Source organism: Homo sapiens, chromosome 19 (genome assembly GCF_000001405.40).
Source record: "Homo sapiens chromosome 19, GRCh38.p14 Primary Assembly".
NCBI classification, from domain to species: Eukaryota; Metazoa; Chordata; class Mammalia; order Primates; family Hominidae; genus Homo; species Homo sapiens.
Window position 1 is genome coordinate 40,328,586 of NC_000019.10, and position 20,263 is coordinate 40,348,848.

A 20,263-nucleotide genomic window follows, 5' to 3' on the forward strand; every position below is an offset into this window, starting at 1 on the left:
TCCTGGAAGACAGGCCTCAATCCAGCAGTCTCAGGGTCAGGATGGAGAAGGTGAGGCTTGAGACTGAATGAGAAGGTCAGCGGGTATCACCCTGTAACTGCATGGTACTCGTGATGGGGATGCTTGGGGGCAGGGTGGGCTGCATCTCCCCAGGAACTAGCCCATCCCTCCCTATCCTGGGAGCCTTTCCTGAGGCTCTAGACCACACTAGTTCTGATCACACCTCACCCATCAGTCACCCAGCCTCGTGCTGAGTTCGCTTCGCCCCTCCCGGAGCTGCTTCAGCCATGCTGGTCTCCAGGATCTTCCTCACCTAGCAAGTAGGCGCTTCCTCAGGGTCCCTGCTGTTCCTTCTGCCTGGCATGCAGTTCCCCAAGCACAGCGGAATTGCTGCGTCTCATCATTCAGGCCTCCTCTCTGATGGCAACTCCTCAGAGAAAACTTCCCTGACCACCCCATCAAAAACAGCACCTCCTCAACCTCTATCACCCTTACCCACTTTCATTTTCTTCACAGCCCTTACAACTGCTTGACATTAAACTCTATTTGTTTACTGGTAAACTCACTCACAAGAACATAAGCTCCACGAGGAGGCTGTGTCTGTTTACTGCTGTATCCCAGTGCCTAAAGTGGTTTCTGAGGACAGGCACAAGGGCGCATGCCTGTAATCCCTGCACTTTGGGAGGCCTAGGGGGATGGATCACTTGAACCCAGTTCAAGACCAGCCTGGGCAACATGGCAAAATCCCATCTCTACCAAAAATACAAAAAATCAGCCAGGCATGGTGGCATGTGCCTGTAGTCCCAGATACTCAGGAGGCTGAGGCAAGAGAATCACTTGAGCCCAGGAGGTCAAGGCTGCAGTGAGCTGTGATCGCACTACTGCACTCCAGCCTGGGCAACAGAGTGAAACCCAGTCTCAAAAACAGGGGGGAAAAAGAAAGAAAACTACATTAAACCATCACAGAACATTTAATAAAACGTGACCCCCAAGCACCCAGCACCCAGGCATCATGACATTATTGGTACCCAGAAGTCCCAGGACAGATCCTTCCCTATCAGACCTCCTCCCTCTCTGCAGGAAGAAATTCTTGGTTTTCAGGCCTGCTCTCTCTCCTCTGTTAATAATATACCCCAGCACTTCTTCAGACATTTTTCAGGTTGGATGGGTGGCTTTATGTCTAATGGCTGCAAACTCTCTGGCTATGCAGAATCTGTCCTGTGAGAGCCTCCATTCACAATACTCTTTACCTAGCTGAGTGCAATAGGATCAGGATTTTCTGCTATAAAAGGCAAGCTGTTAAGAGGGCCCTACCTGTCCTGCTGTACCCAGAGGGAAATCTGCAGCTGAAAAGATGTCAGGAATGTGATGCTTTATTGTCATGACAGGCAAGCCCCATTTGGGTGGCGGTTAAGCAACCAACTCTGTCTTTACTCTGTCTTGCATTTGCGTTGCAGTCAGGATATCAGAATACAAAGAACTGTTCTCTTTCCCACTCCTGACAGACACATCATTCAATGTTCTAAAGTGTGTAAAAGTGATCATCTCAGGAATGTTTTTAGAGCATTCTTCCCACCCCTTTCTTTCTTTGCCTGTTTCCCCTTCTCTTTTTATTTATTTATTTTCATTTACTTTCCCTTTCTTTTTTTTCTTTTTTTTTTGAGACAGAGTCTCGCTCTGTCGCCCAGGCTGGAGTGCAGTGGCGCGATCTTGACTCACTGCAAGCTCTGCCTCCCAGGTTCACACCATTCTCGTGCCTCAGCCTCCCGAGTAGCTGGGACTACAGGCGCCCATCACCATGCCCGGCTAATTTTTTTGTGTATTTTTAGTAGAGATGGGGTTTCACCATGTTAGCCAGGATGGTCTCGATCTCTCGAGGTCTGACCTCATGATCTGCCCACCTTGGCCTCCCAAAATGCTGGGATTACAGGCGTGAGCCACCATACCCGGCCCTCTTTTTTTTTTTTTTTTTTTTTTTTGAGACAGGGTCCCACTCTGTTGCCCACGATGATGGAGTACAGTGGTGCCATCATAACTCACTGCAGCCTCAAAGTCCTGGGCTCAAGCAATCCTCCCACCTCAGCCTCCCAAGCCTCCCACAGCTAATTTACTAATTTTTGTAGAGACAGGGTCTCACTATGTTGCCCAGGCTGGTCTCAAATGCCTAGCATCAAGTGATCTTCCCACCTGGGCCTCCCAAAGTGCTGGGATTAAAGGCATGGGCCACCATACCCAGCTGAACATTTCATTTATAAAGATTTGAAAGACTGGTAAAACTAATGTGTGCTGTTAGCAATCAGGGTAGTGGGTACCCTGGAGACAATGTGGTGGCTGGGAGGGGGCACAGGGGGATTCTGGCAGGCTGGTCATGTTTCCATTACTGGATTTGGGTGCTGGCTACATGGGTGTCCCATCTGTGAATGGCACCCCACTGTAATATTATGGGTGAATGCTTTTCTGAATGTATGTTATGGAGGAGTGTTGCAGAAACGAACCCTAATTTGCTCAGCTTCTTTGCATCCACATCTTTGGGTAGGCCCTACCCACAATGACTGTGGACTTAGCCATGTAACTTGCTTTGGCCAACAGGACAAGAGCAAATGTTGTGCAAGCAGTGGCTTAAGAGGTGCTTTGCACACTGGGGCCAGCCCTCTTCTGCTGCTTTTAGGAACCCTGCAACCACCACTGTGAACAAGCCCAGGCTAGCCAGCTAGATAATTATGGACACGTAGCCAAGTCACCCTGTGGGCCCAGATAACATCAGGACAACCATCAGATATGTGAATGCGGCCGTCAACCCGGCTTCAACCTAGCTGCCAGGTGACCACTAAAATCAGCTGAGCTGGCCTAGAGCAGAACTGACCAGCCAACCCACAAAATCATGAGAAATAAACACCCATGTTTTAGCAAGACATGGTGGCTTGTGCTTGTAATCCCAGCTATTCAGGAGGCTGAGGCAGGAGGATCACTTGAGCCCAGGACTTTGAGGCTACAGTGAGCTATGACTGCACCACTACACTCCAGCCTGGGCAACAGAGTGAGACTCCCATCTCAAAAAATAAAAATACATGTCTGTGTTTTAAAGCACAGTTTTGGGCGGCTTAGTTATCAGCAAAGGGAAGCTAATGTGTATATTAAAATTTTAAAGTTTATTTTTAAAAAAGGTATCTGTCGGGTGCGGTGGCTAATGGCTGTAATCCCAACACTTTGGGGGGCCAAGGTGGGTGGATCACCTACAGTCAGGAGCTCGAGACCAGCCTGGCCAACATGGTAAAACCTCATCTCTACTAAAAATAACAAAAATTGGCTGGGCATGGTGGCAGGCACCTGTAATGCCAGCAACTCAGGAGGCTGAGGCAGGAGAATCGCTTGAACCCAGGAGGTGGAGGTTGCAGTGAGCCAAGATCATGCCATTGCACTCCAGCCTGAGCCACAAAAGCGAAACTCCATCTCAAAAAAAAAAAAAAATGGTATCATACTGCTTTTAAAAACCAAAAATAGCCAGGTGCAGTGGCTCATGCCTGCACTTTGGGAGGCTGAGGCAGGTGGATCGTTTGAAGTCAAGAGTTCAAGACTAGCCTGGCAAATGTGGCAAAACTCTGTCTCTACTAAAAATACAAAAATTGGCTGGGCATGGTGGCACACACATGTAATCCCAGATACTTGGGTGACTGAGGCACAAGAATCACTTAACCTGGGAGGCAGAGTTTGCAGTTAGCTAAGCGTGCCATCGCACTCCAACGTAGGCAACACAGCGAGACTATCTCAAGGGAAAAAAAAAAAGGTCAGGTGCAGTGGTGGCTCACGCCTATAACCCCAGCACTTTGGGAGGCTGAGGCGGGTGGATCACCTGAGGTGTTCAAAACCAGCCTGGCCAACAGGGTGAAATTCTGTCTACTAAAAATACAAAAATTAGCCAGGCGTGGTGGCAGGCACCTGTAATCCCAGCTACTCGGGAGGCTGAGGCAGGAGAACTGCTTGAACCCGGGAGGCGGAGGTTGCACTGAGCCAAGGTCGCGCCACTGTACTCCAGCCTGGGCAACAGAGGGAGACTCCATCTCAAAAAAAAAAAAGAAAAAGAAAAAATATAAATACAGTCAATACTCATCATTCATAGATTCCATATTTGCAAACTTGCCTACTCATTCAAATGTATTTGTAACCCCAAAATCAATACAGCAGTGCTTTCACTGTCATTCACAGACACACACAGAGAACATTTTGAGTTGCTCCAGACACGTTCCCAAATGAGGACAAAGAAGGCATTCTCACCCTCTTATTTCAGGTCCCGCTCTGTAAACAAGCATCCTTTGCCCAGTCTACTTGATGTCATGAATGTGAACATTTTTCACATTTTTGTTGGTGATTTTGCTGTTTAAAATAGCCCCCTGGACGGGAGCAGTGGCTCACGCCTATAATCCCAGCACTTTGGGAGGCCGAAGCAGGCAGATCACTTGAAGTCAGGAGTTCGAGACCAGCCTGGCCAAGATGGTGAAACCCCGTCTCTACTAAAAATACAAAAATTAGCCGGGTGTGGTGACAGGTGCCTGTAATCCCAGCTACTTAGGAGGCTGAGGCAGGAGGATCGCTTGAACCCGGGAGGTGGAGGTTGCAGTGAGCTGAGATCGTGCCACTGTACTCCAGCCTGGGCAACAGAGACTCCATCTCAAAATAAATAAATAAATAAGAAAATAAATAAATAAATAAATAAATAAATAAATAAAATGGCCCTCAAAGCACAGTGTTGAAGTGCTGTCTGGCTTCCTAAATGTAAGAAGGGTATGATGTACCTGATCAAAAAAATGTGTGTGTGAGATAAGCATTGTGCAGGAATGAGTTACAGTGTTGTTGGCTATGAGTTCCCGGTTAATGAAATCAACATTATGTATTAACTACAGTGCCTTTAAAAGGAGACACACATAAAATAAAGCTATATATTTGACGACAGGCTTGCAGGAACCTAACCTAGTATTTCCCATAGGAGCAACGGATTCTCCATTGCTCTGTATTTCTTCTAGGAGCTAAGAATTCACTAAGTGTACATATTAACTTTACAGAACTTAATGACCACAGATGACAATTGACTGTGTGTACAGCCATTCACTACCCAGTTTATTTTTTCCCCTAAAAGAAGAGTAAGAATTCCTCCAATGGCTTTGTTTCTACCTTTGAAAATTACAGGCGGGGATGGGATGGCCAGACGTGTCCCCTTCACTGACAGGGTATAAAAATCAAGGAAAAGAGGCCTGAATAGTTAGGACTCACCACTGGTGCCACGGCGAATTTCGCCTGCAAGGGGGCTAGGGCTGCAGGGTACTGACTCAGTGGCAGCTTTGCACATGTCCTGTGAAAAAAGAACAGGCACCTGGGTCACCACAGAAGAATCATGCATCAACCTAGAGATCTAAGCAACACCACAAGGATCAACACCTGACTGCTAGAGAAGATTCTAACACATTTCACTCCTAACCATAAGAAAGCATCAGATACCTCCAAACTGAGGGACACTCTATAAAATATCTGACCAGTATATTCAGATATATATATCTGAAGTTCAGCCTCCTCACCTATTGAAAAAATAGGCCAGGTGCGGTGGTTCACGCCTGTAATCCCAGCACTTCGGGAGGCCGAAGCGGGTGGATCACCTGAGGTCAGGAGTTTGAGACCAGCCTGGCCAACACAGTGGGACGCTTATCTCTAGAAAAAATTAAAAAACTAGCCAAGCATGGTGTCACACACCTGTAGTCCCAATTATTCAGGGGCTGAGGTGGTAGGATTGCTTGAGCCCAGGAGTTTGAGGCTGCAGTAAGCTGTGATTGTACCACTGCATTCTAGCCTGGGCAACAGAGTGAGACCCTGTCTCCAAAATAGGTGAAAGATGGCCAGGTACGGTGGCTCACACCTGTAATCCCAGCCCTTTGAGAGGCCGGGGCAGGTGGATCACCTGAGGCCAGGAGTTCAAGACCACCCTGGGCAACATGGCAAAACCCCATCTCTACTAAAATTATAAAAACTAGCTGGGCATGGTGGCGCACGCCTGTAATCCCAATCACTCGGGTGGCTGAGGTACGAGAATCTCTTGAACTTGGGAGGTGGAGACTGCAGTGAGCCAAGACAGCACCACTACACTCCAGCCTGGCAACAGGGCAGGATTCTGTCTCAATTAAATAAAATAAAGAGGCCAGGCACAGGGGCACATGCCTGTAATCCCAGCTACTCAGGAGGCTGAGGTAGGAGAATCACTTGCACCTGGGAGGCAGAGGTTGCAGTGAGCCGAGATAGTGCTACTGCACTCCAGCCTGGGCGATGGAGTGAGACCCTGTCTCAAAAATAAATAATAAACAAGTGAAGAAAGGAAGGAAGGAAGGGGGGTAGGGAGGGAGGGAGGGAGGAAGGAAGGAAGGGAGAAAGGGAAGGAGGGAGGGAGGGAAGGAGGAAGGGAAGGAGGGAAGGAGGGAGGGAGGGAGGGAGGGAGGAAGGGAGGGAGGGAGACAGTGCCTGGCAGGCCACAGCAAGTGCTTGGTAAGTGTTAGCTATTATATTAATCACTTAATGAGTACAGCACTCCAGGTCTGGTGCTCAAGGCCACATATACTATCTGGTAGGTGGCCACAGCCACACTAGCATCAGGGCTGTGTGAGAAGCCCATTTCAAAGAGATCCAGGAAGGTGGGTCACTATAAGTGGAGGGGTCAAGACTGGAATGTCCAGGTTGTGAGCCAGGTTGCCATCTGGGTCCCACATAGGAAGCTGCTGTCCTGGAGATAATACTTATCACAAGGAAAATGTGAAGCAGCAATAATAGTTATTACAGAGGGACCCAAATACAGGCAGTTTCCACTGTGCTAGTGCTTCACATAGCTTAATACTCACAACCAGGGCTGGGAGCAGCAGCTCATGCCTGAAATCCCAGTATTTTGGGAGACCGAGGCAGGAGGATGGCCTGAGCCCAGGAGTTCGACACCAGCTTGGGCAACATGGCGAGACACCGTCTCAAAAAAATATATACAACCACCATTCAAGATTTTTTTTTTTTTTTTTTCTTGAGAGAGTCTCGCTCTGTCGCCCAGGCTGGAGTGCAGTGGTGCGATCTCGGCTCACTGCAAGCTCCGCCACCCACGTTCACGTCATTCTCCTGCCTCAGCCTCCCAAGTAGCTGGGACTACAGGTGCCCGCCACCACGCTCGGCTAATTTTTTGTATTTTTAGTACAGACGGGGTTTCACCGTGTTAGCCAGGATGGTCTCAATCTCCTGACTTCGTGATCCGACCACCTCGGCCTCCCAAAGTGCTGAGATTACAGGCGTGAGCCACCGCACCCGGCCAGGTTTGCCTCTCTTTCACAGATGCAGAAAATACAGCTCAGAGAGGTTGGGCAATGTGCCCAGCGTCACACAGCAAATGGCTGAACCAGCCCTGGAACCTGGGTCGGCCTGCCTCTGCTGCCAGGCCTCCCATTGGCTCTGCAACTGACCCTCCACCTCCATGCCAAACCCAGAGACAGAGGGGCTGGGCACAGCACCCACCTGACGGTGCACCACTTTGGCATGCTTGAGAATGGCGATGATGTCACCCACCACGGTCACGCCCAGCTCATTCATTATCTCCTTATTGAGATCCAGCAGCATGCTCTTCTGAATCCTGCAGGGAAAGGTCAGTGGTGAGGCCCCAGGTGGGCCAGAGTGGGTGGGCCAGCCAGCTCCCCACCACCCCATCCCCAAGTTCAGCCTCCTCACCTATTATCCACAAACATCACGGCATAATTGACGGCAGGTCCTGGAGGAATGCCGGCTTCCTTAAAGAACTGGATCCACTCGGAAGTGGCTGTGGGGTTGGACAGGGCTCATTACTCACACTGTCCTCTTTAGAGAATAGCATTAGCAAAACCACAATCACAGCAGCTCCCACAAATTAAATGCTCATCATATGCCAGGCCCTGCATGGAGTGCTCCACACACACATGATGGAACTGAGCCTTCCTGACCCTGTGAGTTAAGCAGTATTAAGATTCGCCTGAGTTGCCGATGAGGAAAATGAGATAGGGAAAGGTTGGGCAACCCACCCCAAGCCACAATGCTAAACAAGGGGCAGAGCTCCCAAACCTTTACCACAGCCTTTCTCCTTACAGCTCCACCCCGCCCCAGTGCTTGCTCTCTGCATCACTACACATGCTGGGCCCATGACTGATTTAGGGTAACTGGGACTCTGGGTTCTCTGCCCTAGTCCCCATCAGCCAGCCTAGGCCCAGAGGATGATAGGATCCTCAGGTGGCTGGAAAGAAGCATCATAGAGCCAGCCCATGAGCCTTGGCAAGCCCCCACCCGCCACAATAGCAAACCTCCCTCAGAGAGAGGCATGGAAGTTACTAACATGGGCTTCGGAGCTTGGGTTTGAATCCTAACCCTGCGATTTCCCTATGGAGGGACTTTGGGTAAGTTAACTCTTGGTGCCTTGGTTTCCTCATCTGTAAACCTGGGATAACAGATCTGACAAGTGTTTACCCAGCATTTGGCAAAGGACAGGTCCTGTCCTACACACGGGGGATACCACAAGGCACAAGATGAAGTCCCAGCCCTTGTGGAGCTGAGATTTTAGTGATAACAGCCCCAATGTCCTTGAGTCACTGTGCAGACTCAATGAGAACCTCCATATAAAAGGCTTTAAATGATGCTTGACCCAGAGGACATCCTCAAACCATGACAGCAATTATTATTATTATTATTATTATTATTATTATTACTATTACTCCCATCACCACTAAACATAGAGCCACAGCCAAGACCAGGCAGACCCCACCTATGAAACTTTATTCTTTCTAAATTTTCTTGGCTTCTTGGTGGGTGTGACCCTCAAACTGACCCCAACCTGCCAGGCCAGGTGATAGCTAAGATCACTGATTCGAAGTAGAACTTTTTTTCACATTTTGACATCTCTGAAACTAGGATCTACTTCATGACTGACAGTGTGCCATAGTTTAATTAGCAAACTGTTTTTCTTTCTCAGTACATCCAATAATCCATGCTATTTTAGATTAGAAGAAATCTGTTATTACCTCACCCATTTTTCTTTTAAGACAATAGAGACTCAGAGCAGGGAAACAGACACACAGGTGTTACACGAGTGGCAGTGCGGGGCTCAGGTGAAACTCCATGGGCCACATCTCCAAGAAGGCCCCTGCCCAGCCAGCCACAGGCCGGTTACCCAGGGTGCTGACTGGCCCTTGGGGACTGAGGCTGGCGAGGAGCTCATGTCCTTAGGATTTCCTCCGCCAGGCCAGAGGAAAGGGGTACCATTTCCCTATGTTGTGCAGGCACCATCCACCTGCTAAGCCATAGGGCCCTGGGTCCCACTGACCAGAAGCAGGCACCTCTAACTATCAACAAGCACCACATAATGATTCCATGTATATGAAGTGTCTAGAACAGGCAAATCTAAAGAGAAAGTAGATTAGTGGTTGCTAGGGGGACAGGGGAAGTGACTGTTAATGGGTATGGGGTTTTAATTTTTTTGAGACAGGGTCTCCCTCTGTCGCCTAGGCCAGAGTGCAGTGGCGCAATCATAGCTCACTGCCGTCTCAACCTCCTGGGCTCAAGCGATCTTCCCACCTCAGCTTCTCAAGTAGTTAAACTACAGGCGCATGCCACCAGGCCAGGCTAATTTTTTGTATATATATACATATATATACACACACACACACACACACACACAAATATATATATATACACATATATATACACAAATATATATATACACAAATATATATATACACACACACACACAAATACATATATATATATACACATATATATATATTTCTTTTTAGATGGAGTCTCATTCTGTCACCCAGACTGGAGTGCAGTGGCGCAATCTCGGCTGACTGCAACCTCCACCTCCGGGTTCAAGCAATTCTCCTGCCTCAGCCTCCTGAGTAGCTAGGATTACAGCCACGCGCCACCATGAACAGCTAATTTTTGTATTTTTAGTAGAGACGGGGTTTCACCATGTTGGTCAGGCTGGTCTCAAACTCCTGACCGTGTGATCCACATGCCCTGGCCTCCCAAAGTGATGAGATTACAGGCGTGAGCCACCGCCCCCGGCATTTTTTTGTATTTTTTATAGAGACAGAGTTTTGCCATGTTGCCTAGGCTGGTCTCAAACTCCTGGACTCAAGCGATCCACCTGCCTCGGCCTCCCAAAGTGCTGGGATTACAGGCATGCACCATAACACCCTGCTAAGGTATGGGGTTTCAAGAGAGAGTGATAAAGATGTTTTAAAATTGATTATGGTGATGGCTGCACAACTCTGTGAACAGATAATATAAAAACCATCGAATTATACACCTTAACTAGGTAAAATGTATGATAAATGCATTATAGCTACACTAAGCTGTTATTAAGGGGAGAAAAAAGTACCACGTAGGTTGGGGGTAGCTCTCTGAGCCAAAGCCTATGATTGATTAATTGACTGATTGACTTTAAGGCTAGTCAAGTGAAGCAGTAGGAAGGGAGAAGGAACAAAGAAATCTGTAACTGGTTGTGATCAATTAGTTGTAAAGACCAATCAGTTCCTAGGGACCAGGCAAAGCCTGTGAATTTAACCAAGAGATTACTGAAACCCAGTGTTTGAGGAATTGAAAGAGTCCCCACATTAAGCACACACCATCATTTCATGTATTGCTAAGGAAGGAAAATATGCAGCCAATTAAACTGTCATAAGGCACTGGCTGTAAGATATACCCCTACTTCAGAAATATTAAGTTGTGCAATGATGTGAGTCTTGGAATCGATGAGATGTGGCTTGTTGCACACACCAGGAGACACGTACAAGAATATTCATAGCAGTTTGTCTGTGATAGCTCCAACCCAGTAATAATGCAATATCCATTGACAGCAGCATTGATAAACACACGGTGGTCACTCTCAAGGTGAAATACTATACAGCAGTGAAAAGAAAGTCAACATAGATGACCCTTAGACATTATGTTGAGCAAAAGAAGCCAGATACAAAAGAACACAAGGTATGATTTCATTCATATAAATTCAAAACCAAAGTCTATAGAATAGGAATGTCCCACTGGTAATACAACTATAAAGAAAAGCAAGGAAGGCCAGGAGCGGTGGCTTACACCTGTAATCCCAGCACTTTGGGAGGCCGAGATGGACGGATCACCTGAGGTCAGGAGTTCAAGACCAGCCTGACCAACATAGAAAAACCCCATCTCTACTAAAAATACAAAATTAGCCAGGCATGGTGGTGCATGCCTGTAATCCCAGCTACTCAATCTGGAGGCTGAGGCAGGAGAATTGCTTGAACCCAGGAGGCAGAGGTTGCGGTGAGCCGAGATCGCACCACTGCATTCCAGCTTAGGCAACAAAAGCGAAACTCCATCTCAAAACAAAAAAAAAAAAAAACAAAAAAAGAAAGGTAAGGCAAGAAAATATGTTCACAGAATGATTTATTCCATATGGAGAATGGAGAAGAGAGGGGAGTGAGATTGGGGTAGGACTCTCGGGGGGCTGACAATATTCTCTTTTTTTTGACCTGGATGGGTAATAGGGTTTGGATTTTTCAATCTTTTTATGGAACTATAATGTACATGCAAAAAAGTGCACAAGTCAATAGATCTTCCTAAACCAGACACACCTATGTAATCAGCACCCAAATCAAGAAATCAGGTATTTCTAATACCTCAGAACCCTTTATATTACCTTTAGAGTCTCTACTCACTCCTTCCCAGAGGCAACCACCACCTTCTAACAAAATAGATTTTGCCTGCTTCTATGCTTTATATAAATGGAATTATAAAGAATACAGGCAGCCAGGCGCGGTGGCTCACGTCTGTAATCCCAGCACTTTGGGAGGCCGAGGCAGGTGGATCACGAGGTCAAGAGATCGAGACCATCCTGGCCAACATGGTGAAACCCCATCTCTACTAAAAATACAAAAATTAGCTGGGCGTGGTGGCACGTGCCTGTAGTCCCAGCTACGTGGGAAGCTGAGGCAGGAGAATGGCGTGAACCCGGGAGGCAGAGCTTGCAGTGAGCGGAGATCATGCCACTGCACTCCAGCCTGGCGACAGAGCAAGACTCTGTCTCAAATAAAAAGGAATACAGGCCAGGCGCAGTGGCTCACATGTGTAATCCCAGCACTTTGGGAGGCTGAGGCAGGAGGATCTCTTGAGCACAGGAGTTCAAGACCAGCCCAGGCAACATGGTGAAACCCCATCTCTACAAAAAATACAAAAATTAGCCGGGCGTGATGGTGTGTGACTATAGTCCCAGCTACTCGGAGGCTGAGATGGGAGGATCACCTGAGCCTGGGAGGCAGAGGGTGCAGTGAGCTGAGATTGCACCACTGCACTCCAGCCTGGGCAACAGTGTGAGCCTGTCTCAAAAAAAAAAAAAAAAAAGGATATACTCAGATTTTGCTTTTTAATCACTCTTAAAACTATACAAATATATTTTATGGGCCAGGCGCGGTGGCTCATGCCTGTAATCCCAGCACTTAGGGAGGCCAAAGAGGGAAGATCACCTGAGGTCAGGAGTTGGAGACCAGCCTGGCCAACATGGTGAAACCCTGTCTCTACTAAAAATACAAAAATTAGCTGGGCGTGGTGGCACGCGCCTGTAATCCCAGCTACTTGGGAGGCTAAGACAGGAGAATCACTTGAACCCGGGAGGTGGAGGCTGCAGTGAGCCGAGATCGTGCCATTGCACTCCAGCCTGGGCAACAAGAGCGAAACTCCATCTCAACAAACATACATATATAATATATATAATATACTTTTCTATATTATAATAAATGTCAAAATTTTTCAAAGCCACCAACTAACCTCTGTGCCTTAGCAATCCCCAAATACAGAGCTTAAGGCTTGTGATAATAACAACACCTAAGGTTTGTTTAGAACTATGCCCAAGCTTTTACATGCTATAATCTCCTTAATCCCAGGATGTGTGAATATCATTTCCATTTCACAGGTGAGAAAACCAAGGCTCTGTGAGGCCACGTGGGAGACCTGCTGGACTTCATAACCCACGTTCTTCACAGCTAAACTATACAGTCAGGAGAGAGATCCAGTGATGAGGCGGGCAGGCCTCAAGCAGTTCCAGCCCCACCCTGCCACGGTCCTCAGAGTACAGCTGTTCCTGCCAGTGACCCAGTCCTCCCTCCCCCATCCCATCATCCCCCACCAAGGCCATACCTCAAAAAGGGCAGTGGGGAGAGGGGGCCCTGGAGAGAAGGCCACAGACTCACCCATAGTCACGGAGACCATCGTCTCCCTGGCCCTGACACTGCTCCCTGGAGCCTGAAAGAGAAGAGAGGAGAGAGCCCATGAGCTGCTGCCGGCTGTGAGTGTTTGTCCCTCTCCTGTGCCTGTCTGTCTGCATGCCAGAGGAATGTTCCTGGGCTAGGGGCTCACCGCCCAGGAATAGCCTGGAGCAGCTGGCAGGAAGTCAGCCTGGGACAGAGCTGCCACCACCATCATCGCTTGTGCCTGAGACAAGGCCCAGGGACAGCAAATGTCCACAGCTCCATTCACACACACCCCAAAAGGTTGGCTGGAAAAGGAGTGCAACAGAAATAAGACACTTCTGGCCAAGACTTTAACAATAAATACCAGCCAAGCATGCTGGCTCATGCCTGTAATCCCAGGACTTTGGGAGGCCAAGGTGGGAGGATTACTTGAAGCCAGGAGTTCAAGACCAGCCTGGACAACATAGCAAGACCCTGTCTCAAAAAAAAAGGCTGGTCCGAAGGTAGTGAATTATCTCAATTGACTGTTCATAGTCCTTTACAGATGGAACTCCTTATTCTACTCTTTCTCCTTTTCTCACTACTGCAGTTGACTAGTCTTCAAACAAACAAACAAACAAACAAACCCAAAACCCTATTCACTGAGAACCTACTATGTGTAAGGCACTTAGGGATACCAAGTTGAACAAAGCCATGGAACTTAGCAGCTAGCTGGGTACAGGGGACAGGGGAGACAGAGAGTAAACAAGCCAAACAGTTAATATAGTACGTTAGGAAGCCTTTAGTGCCACGGAGAAGACATGGAGGACCTGGGAAGGGAGGGGTTGTAATTTTCAGCAGAGTGATCAGGGAAGACCTAAAGCAACATTTAGAGACCTAAAGGGAGGGAAGCAATGAGCCATGTGGTTTTACAGAGAAAAAGTGTTCCAGAAGAAGGTACAGCAAGTCCAGCGCCCTGAGCCAGTGGCTCATCTGGCATGCTGGAGGGAAAGCAAGGAGCCAGTGTGGCTGCAGTGGAGCGAGCAGGAAGGACACTGGGAGGAGACAGGTCACAGAAGTGGCGACCTGATCATGAGACGTCCCAGAGAAGACATGGAAAACCAATTTTCCCTTACATTAGCAGATGGTAGAAAGGTGGTGTTAAGGACATATTAGCACCAATGGAGACTGTCTCCGTTAAAAGCAGTGTTGAATGGGAACTAAAGGAAATAACTTTTTCATGTGCTGATTCAACGCTATGCGACTCCAGGATCATGGGGCCCACACTGCCCTGGCCCAAACTTCCTTCCTACTTAGCCCTCTGCCTCTTCCCTGACCCGGCTCCTCTGCCCTCTTCCCTCACTCTGTTCCCTTCTATCTACCGCAGCCCCCAATACTGATCCTCCCTCACCCCCGCATGGGGTGCAGAAGCCCTCTGTCCCAGAACCTTCCTGTTTACCACCCCATACGACCTGTCCCATCCCCTAACAGATTTTGATGGTATAATGGAGTGGTCAAGAGTAACAACTCTGCAACCAGACTGTACAGTTCAAATCCAGCTCTACCACTTATTAGCTGTGTGATCTCGGCAAGTGACTTCAACAGTCAGGCCGCGGTGTCACCATTTGTGAATTGGGAGGGTGCAAACATGACTTACCTTAGAGGACTGCTATAAGGGCTGGATGAGTTTCTATGAATAAAAGCACTTGAGACAGTGCTTGGTGCCTACTAAGCACCCTGGAGGTGTTGTGCCTGGTCTCATCCTCCAGGCCTCCTTCCCCACACAGGTGCTTTGCCGGCCTCCCAGTTTTTAGAGGATGTCACCTGTGCCTGGAATGCCTGTCTCCTCCTGGCAACCTATCCTTCCTTCTGCTCCACTGCCATCTACTTTGTGACACTTTCCCTAAGTCCCCACATATGAGACTCTCTTCTCTATCCTCACTAGGGTTAATCTTGCCCTTCTCTGGCTTCTGCTCAATTTTTTTTTTTTTTTTTTGAGACAAAGTCTTGCTCTGTCGCCCAGGCTGGAGTGCAGTGGCGCGATCTCGGCTCACTGCAACCTTCGCCTCCTGGGTTCAAGCGGTTCTCCTGCCTCAGCCTCCCGAGCAGCTGGGACCACAGGCACTCGCCACCACACCCAGCTAATTTTTGTATTTTTAGTACAGATGGGGTTTCACCATGTTGGCCAGGCTAGTCTCGAACTCCTGACCTCAAGTGATCTGCCCACATCAGTTTCCCAAAGTGCTGGGATTACAGGCACCTGGCCTTCTGCTCAATCTCTTATTGATGAGTATGACCACAGACATCACTCTGTCCTGTACTCAACACTCTTAGATCCAATTTCCCTCCTGAATTTTACCACTGGCCAAAGACAATACAGGCCAGGAGCAGTGGCTCGTGCCTGTAATCCCAGCACTTTGGGAGGTCGAGGCAGGTGGATCACCTGAGGTCAGGAGTTTGAGACCAGCCTGGCCAACATGGTGAAACCCCATCTCTACTAAAAATACAAAAATTAGTCGGGCATGGTGGTGGGCGCCTGTAATCCCAGCTACTCGGCAGGCTGAGGCAGGAGAATCGCTTGAACCCGGGAGGCAGAGGCTGCAGTGGGCCGAGATCACACCACTGCACTCTAGCCTGAGTGACAGAGCAAGACTCTGTCTCAAAAAATAATAATGAAATAAAATACAGTACAACATGCATCTCTCAAAGAACAGCACGGAGAGGTCTCAGTAAGTCAGACAGAACATCTCACAAACCAAGCACTAACTATGCATCAGGACCAGCGCCAAGCATCATGCAGATGCATCCCAACAGCTCAGCAAGTGAGGACTATTATTAGCCCTGTTTTTATCGATGAAAAACCCCGACTCATTGAGGTGCAGTCGTTTGTCAAATGGCACATCTAGCAACTGACCTTACTGGGATTCAAAAACAAGTTCTTCCTGATTCTGACGTCCAGGGAATAGGTCCCATTGAGTGCTTACTATGTACCAGGAACTGAGCATATACACATCTCAGTCGCTCCTCACAACCACCCTCGGAAAGTTACAGATGAGAATGGCAGGTCCAAGATCACACAGCAAAAGGCTGGGCACAGTGGCTCAGGCCTGTCATCCCAGCACTTTAGGGTCAGGAGGATCCCTTGAGCCTAGGAGTTCAAGATCATATAGCAAGTAAAGGAAGCAGCAGGACTTGGACCCCACGCAGTCCAATGGCTATGGTTCATGCTGATTGAGGGATTACTACCAGCCAGGTACTATGGTCTGTTTTTCAATGTCTCAGTTAATGCTAACCAGAATCCTTTAAGTACTGGTATTCTCCCCCAAGTGCTACAGACCCTACTGAATTCAATTTCCTCTCTCCACAATCTTAAAAGCCCATCTCCAGCACTGACTTTCCGAATAGTGAAAATTATAATAGTGATTTTAAAGACAGCAGCTCCCAAAACTCAAGGGATTACCACATACCAGACTCCATGTGCTAAGCCCTTAGAAGACCTGTATCCAAATCCCAATTTTACCACGTCCTAATCCTGACTCTGGACAAGTAGCTTAACCTTTCTGACCTCACTTCCCTCAACTGCACAATAAGAATGGTAAGGCCGGGTACAGTAACTCACACCTGTAGTCCCAGCACTTTGGGAGGCCGAAGCAGGAGGATCTCTGGAGCCCAGGATTTTGAGGCCAGCCTGGGCAATATAGCGAGACCCTGTCACTGTTAAAAAAAAAAAAAAAAAAAAAAAAACTGGGCGTGGTGGCTCACGCCTGTAATCACAGCACTTTGGGAGGCTGAGGCGGGTGGATCACCTGAGGTCAGGAGTTCGAGACCAGCCTGGCCAATATGGTGAAACCCCATCTCTACTAAAAATACAAAAATTAGCCAGGCATGGTGGTGTATGCCTGTAATCCAAGCTACTCAGTAGGCTAAGGTGGGAGAATCGCTTCAACCCGGGGCGGGGGGGGGAGAGGTTGCAGTGAGCCAAGATTACGCCACTTCACTCCAGCCTGGGCAACAGAGCAAGACTCAGTCTCAAAAAAAAAAAAAAAAAAAGGAAAGGTGGCTGGGCGCAGTGGCTCATGCCTGTAATCCCAACGCTTTGGGAGGCCAAGGCAGTGGATCACAAGGTCAGGAGTTTGAGACCAGCCTGGCCAACATGGCGAAACTCCGCCTCTACTAAAAATACAAAAAATTAGCTGGGCATGGTGGCAGGCACCTGTAATCCCAGCTACTCGGGAGGCTGAGGCAGGAGAATCACTTGAACCCAGGAGGCAGAGGTTGCAGTGAGCCGAAACTGTACCACTACACTCCAGCCTGGGCAACAGAGTGAGACTCCATCTCAAAAAAAAAAAAAAAAGTAAGATTACCAATTCTTGGCCAGCACCTTGGGAGGCTGAGGCAGGTGGATAACCTGAGGTCAGGAATTCAAGACCAGCCTGGCCAACATAGTGAAACCCCTCTCTACTAAAAATACAAAAATTAGCCAGGCGTGGTGGTGGGCACCTGTAATCCTAGCTACTCAGGAGGCTGAGGCAGGAGAATTGCTTAAGCCCGGGAGGCAGAGGTTGCAGTGATCCAAGATCGCACCACTGCACTCCAGCCTGGGCAACAGAGCGAGACCTTGTCTCAAATAAATAAATAAATAAATAAATAAATAAATAAATAAATAAATAATAAAAATAAAAAAACACCATCTTAAAAAAAAAAAAAGAGGACCCTTTTTTTTTTTTGAGATGAAGTCCCACTCTGTCGCCCAGGCTGGAGTGCAGTGGCGTGATCTCGTCTCACTGCAACCTCTGCCTCCCAGGTTCAAGCAATTATCCTGCCTCAGCCTCCCAAGTAGCTGGGATTACAGGCCCCCACCACCATGCCCGGCTAATTTTCTGTAGTTTTAGTAGAGACGGGGTTTCACCGTGTTAGCCAGGATGGTCTCTATCTCCTGACCTCGTGATCCGCCCGTCTCGGCCTCCCAAAGTGCTAGGATTACAGGCGTGAGCCACCACGCCCAGCCAAGGACCCATTCTTAAAGGTGTTACAAGGATTAAACGAGTTAATAAACAGAGTCCTTAGAACAAAGATGCACGGCAGGTGGTTAAGTGCGATGTTAAGTGTGCATCAAATAAAACAAATCTTCAGTAAGCTAGGGAAACAGTGGGACAGTCACTGACTTAATGCTAGTTTTATACAAAGTGTGAGCTGGGAACAAGTATAAGGACAACTTAATGGGGGTCCATGGGATCTGACAACAGGGAATCACACAGTACAGGTTCTGAACAGTATCCCTATTCAAAGGGAATACGTAGTATTCCTTTTCAATTATCTTTCCATTTCAGTGTACAATGTAATGGGCTGTTCAGTTTCCATTGTATTTTACCTGAACTTTTCCTTCCTCTCATGGCCAGCAATGCTAGTTTTCCATTGAAGACAGCAATGCGCCGGGCACGGTGGCTCACACCTGTAATCCCAGCACTTTGGGAGGCAGAGGCGGGCAGATCACCTGAAGTCAGAAGTTCGAGACCAGCCTGACCAACATGCAGAAACCCCGTCTCTACTAAAATACAAAAAAAATTAGCCGGGCGTGGTGGCGCATGCCTGTAATCCCAGCTACTCGGAAGGTTGAGGCAGGAGAATCCCTTGAACCCAGGAAGCGGAGGTTGCGGTGAGACGAAATTGCACCATTGCACTCCAGCCTGGGCAACAAGAGCGAAACTCCGTCTCAAAGAAAAAAAAAAGAAGAAGACAGCAATGCAAATTTGCCTTCTCAAATTAACTTACTGGGGAAAAAAATGCACTAGTCATTATCAAGAAAAAGAAAAAAACTAGTACTTCAGGACTCAGCAAAATTGGTCAAATAGTAAGTGACAGGATGTCGATTTCCCCGGCTCCAATTCTAAGTTTTTCCTATTGCTGTCTCTGAGCTTTCTCCCCCAGCTTCCCTGGAATTCCCAGCTACACCAATGACTCTCAGAATCATTATCATTATAGTCCCAATCCACGAGCTCTCACTGTGCCAGCCCCTCTGCTTAAAATCTTTACACACACAGATTTCATCAGAATCCTCAAGACGACCCTATGATATTGGGACTATCTGCTCTCATTGTACAGATGAGAAAAAACGGGGTTCAAGGAAGCGAAGACACAGGCCCCACTGCCGCACAGTGGAGCGGGACTTGAACCAAAATTCGACGGCTTCCAAACCCAACAATTTTTCATACTAAGCGCTCAAACATCAATACTAATAATAATAGTATAGTAACGAAGTGAGCGTTATGCGGAGGCGCTGAGCTAAGGCATCCAACGTACACGACCTGACTTCTCACTCCCATTTATAAAGCCGGTGATACAGTCGGATTCTAACCCCCATTCCACAGGGGAGGAAACTGAGGCTCAAAGAAACAAATCGTAAGTCCGAAGCCGTACAACGGAGCCCGAACTGAGTCCAGACACCCGGACGCCACCCGTCCCTACCGCAACCGGCCCAGTCCCACCACCCCCGGCCCGCGCCTCACCTGGCCCACCGGGCCCGCGCCCACTCGCGCCGCCCGCCCTCCCTCCCGGCGGCGCCAACTGTCAGACACTCCTCCCCCGGCCCGGGCTGCCCGCCCCGGAAGCATCCTCTCACCGCCGGAAGCTGAACTGACTCGTCCGCGGCCGCTCTACCCCAACAGGCCGCCACCAGCGAGAGTGCGGCCATAACCATCACGTGACCGCCCACCGACACCAGCGAGAGTGCAGTCGTAACCGTCACGTGACCGCCCACCGTCGGCCCGGCGCTCCCCTCCGCCCGAAGCTAGCAAGCGGCGCGGCCAATGAGAAAGGCGCATGCCTGGCCCCCGCCGGCCTGCAGTCTAGCCGTAGTGCGCCTGCGCGCGGCTAGGAGGGGCCGTCAGGCGGGGATACAGCCTGGAAGGTGCGTGTGGGGCTGGGTCTCGGAGTGGGAGACGTGGAGTGCAGGTACTGTGCGATCTGGGGGCGCGGCGCCTCGGCTACCCTCCTCGTGTTGTCTTCCACGCTATAATGCATGGAATATAATA

At 48.7% G+C, this 20,263-nt stretch overlaps 2 protein-coding genes across 18 annotated transcripts in view, besides 4 other annotated features; one reads left to right on the plus strand and one right to left on the minus strand.

Moving 5' to 3' along the window:
* C19orf47 (chromosome 19 open reading frame 47) overlaps positions 1–19,942 on the minus strand; it is a 55,574-nt gene extending 35,632 nt beyond the window's left edge. For 6 of the 16 annotated variants that reach the window (XM_047438176.1, XM_024451364.2, XM_017026291.2 and 3 more), the window contains exons 1-5: positions 19,739–19,812; positions 13,254–13,305; positions 7,735–7,822; positions 7,525–7,639; positions 5,266–5,344 (exon numbers count right to left, since the gene is read on the minus strand). In XM_047438176.1, coding sequence (XP_047294132.1) covers positions 5,266–5,344; positions 7,525–7,639; positions 7,735–7,822; positions 13,254–13,272 — 301 coding nt within the window. In that variant the 5' untranslated portion in view covers positions 13,273–13,305; positions 19,739–19,812. Of the gene's footprint in view, positions 1–3,936; positions 3,975–5,265; positions 5,345–7,524; positions 7,640–7,734; positions 7,823–13,200; positions 13,384–14,889; positions 14,923–18,603; positions 19,705–19,738; positions 19,813–19,851 lie in introns of those variants that run through there. The other 10 variants (XM_011526460.3, XM_005258520.3, NM_001256440.1 and 7 more) reach the window with 7 other exon arrangements.
* Positions 2,544–2,744: a silencer, noted in NCBI's record as "peak3483 fragment used in MPRA reporter construct". NCBI's record gives its function as "represses an SCP1 promoter by STARR-seq MPRAs in K562 erythroleukemia cells {active_cell/tissue: K562}" and the evidence as "EXISTENCE:reporter gene assay evidence [ECO:0000049][PMID:32103011]".
* Positions 6,557–6,851: a silencer, noted in NCBI's record as "tiled region #7250; K562 Repressive non-DNase unmatched - State 15:Elon". NCBI's record gives its function as "represses a minimal TATA promoter and a strong SV40 promoter by Sharpr-MPRA in K562 cells {active_cell/tissue: K562}" and the evidence as "EXISTENCE:reporter gene assay evidence [ECO:0000049][PMID:27701403]".
* Positions 19,687–19,776: a silencer, noted in NCBI's record as "silent region_10620". NCBI's record gives its function as "represses an Ori minimal core promoter by ATAC-STARR-seq in GM12878 lymphoblastoid cells {active_cell/tissue: GM12878}" and the evidence as "EXISTENCE:reporter gene assay evidence [ECO:0000049][PMID:35858748]".
* Positions 19,767–20,056: an enhancer, noted in NCBI's record as "active region_14648". NCBI's record gives its function as "activates an Ori minimal core promoter by ATAC-STARR-seq in GM12878 lymphoblastoid cells {active_cell/tissue: GM12878}" and the evidence as "EXISTENCE:reporter gene assay evidence [ECO:0000049][PMID:35858748]".
* The window catches only part of PLD3 (phospholipase D family member 3), a 29,791-nt gene continuing 29,637 nt past the window's right edge, over positions 20,110–20,263 (plus strand). The window contains exon 1 of one of the 2 annotated variants that reach the window (NM_012268.4): positions 20,110–20,183. The gene's annotated coding sequence lies outside the window, so the exon portion shown is untranslated. The remainder of the gene's footprint in view (positions 20,184–20,263) is intronic. The other variant, NM_001031696.4, reaches the window with a different exon arrangement.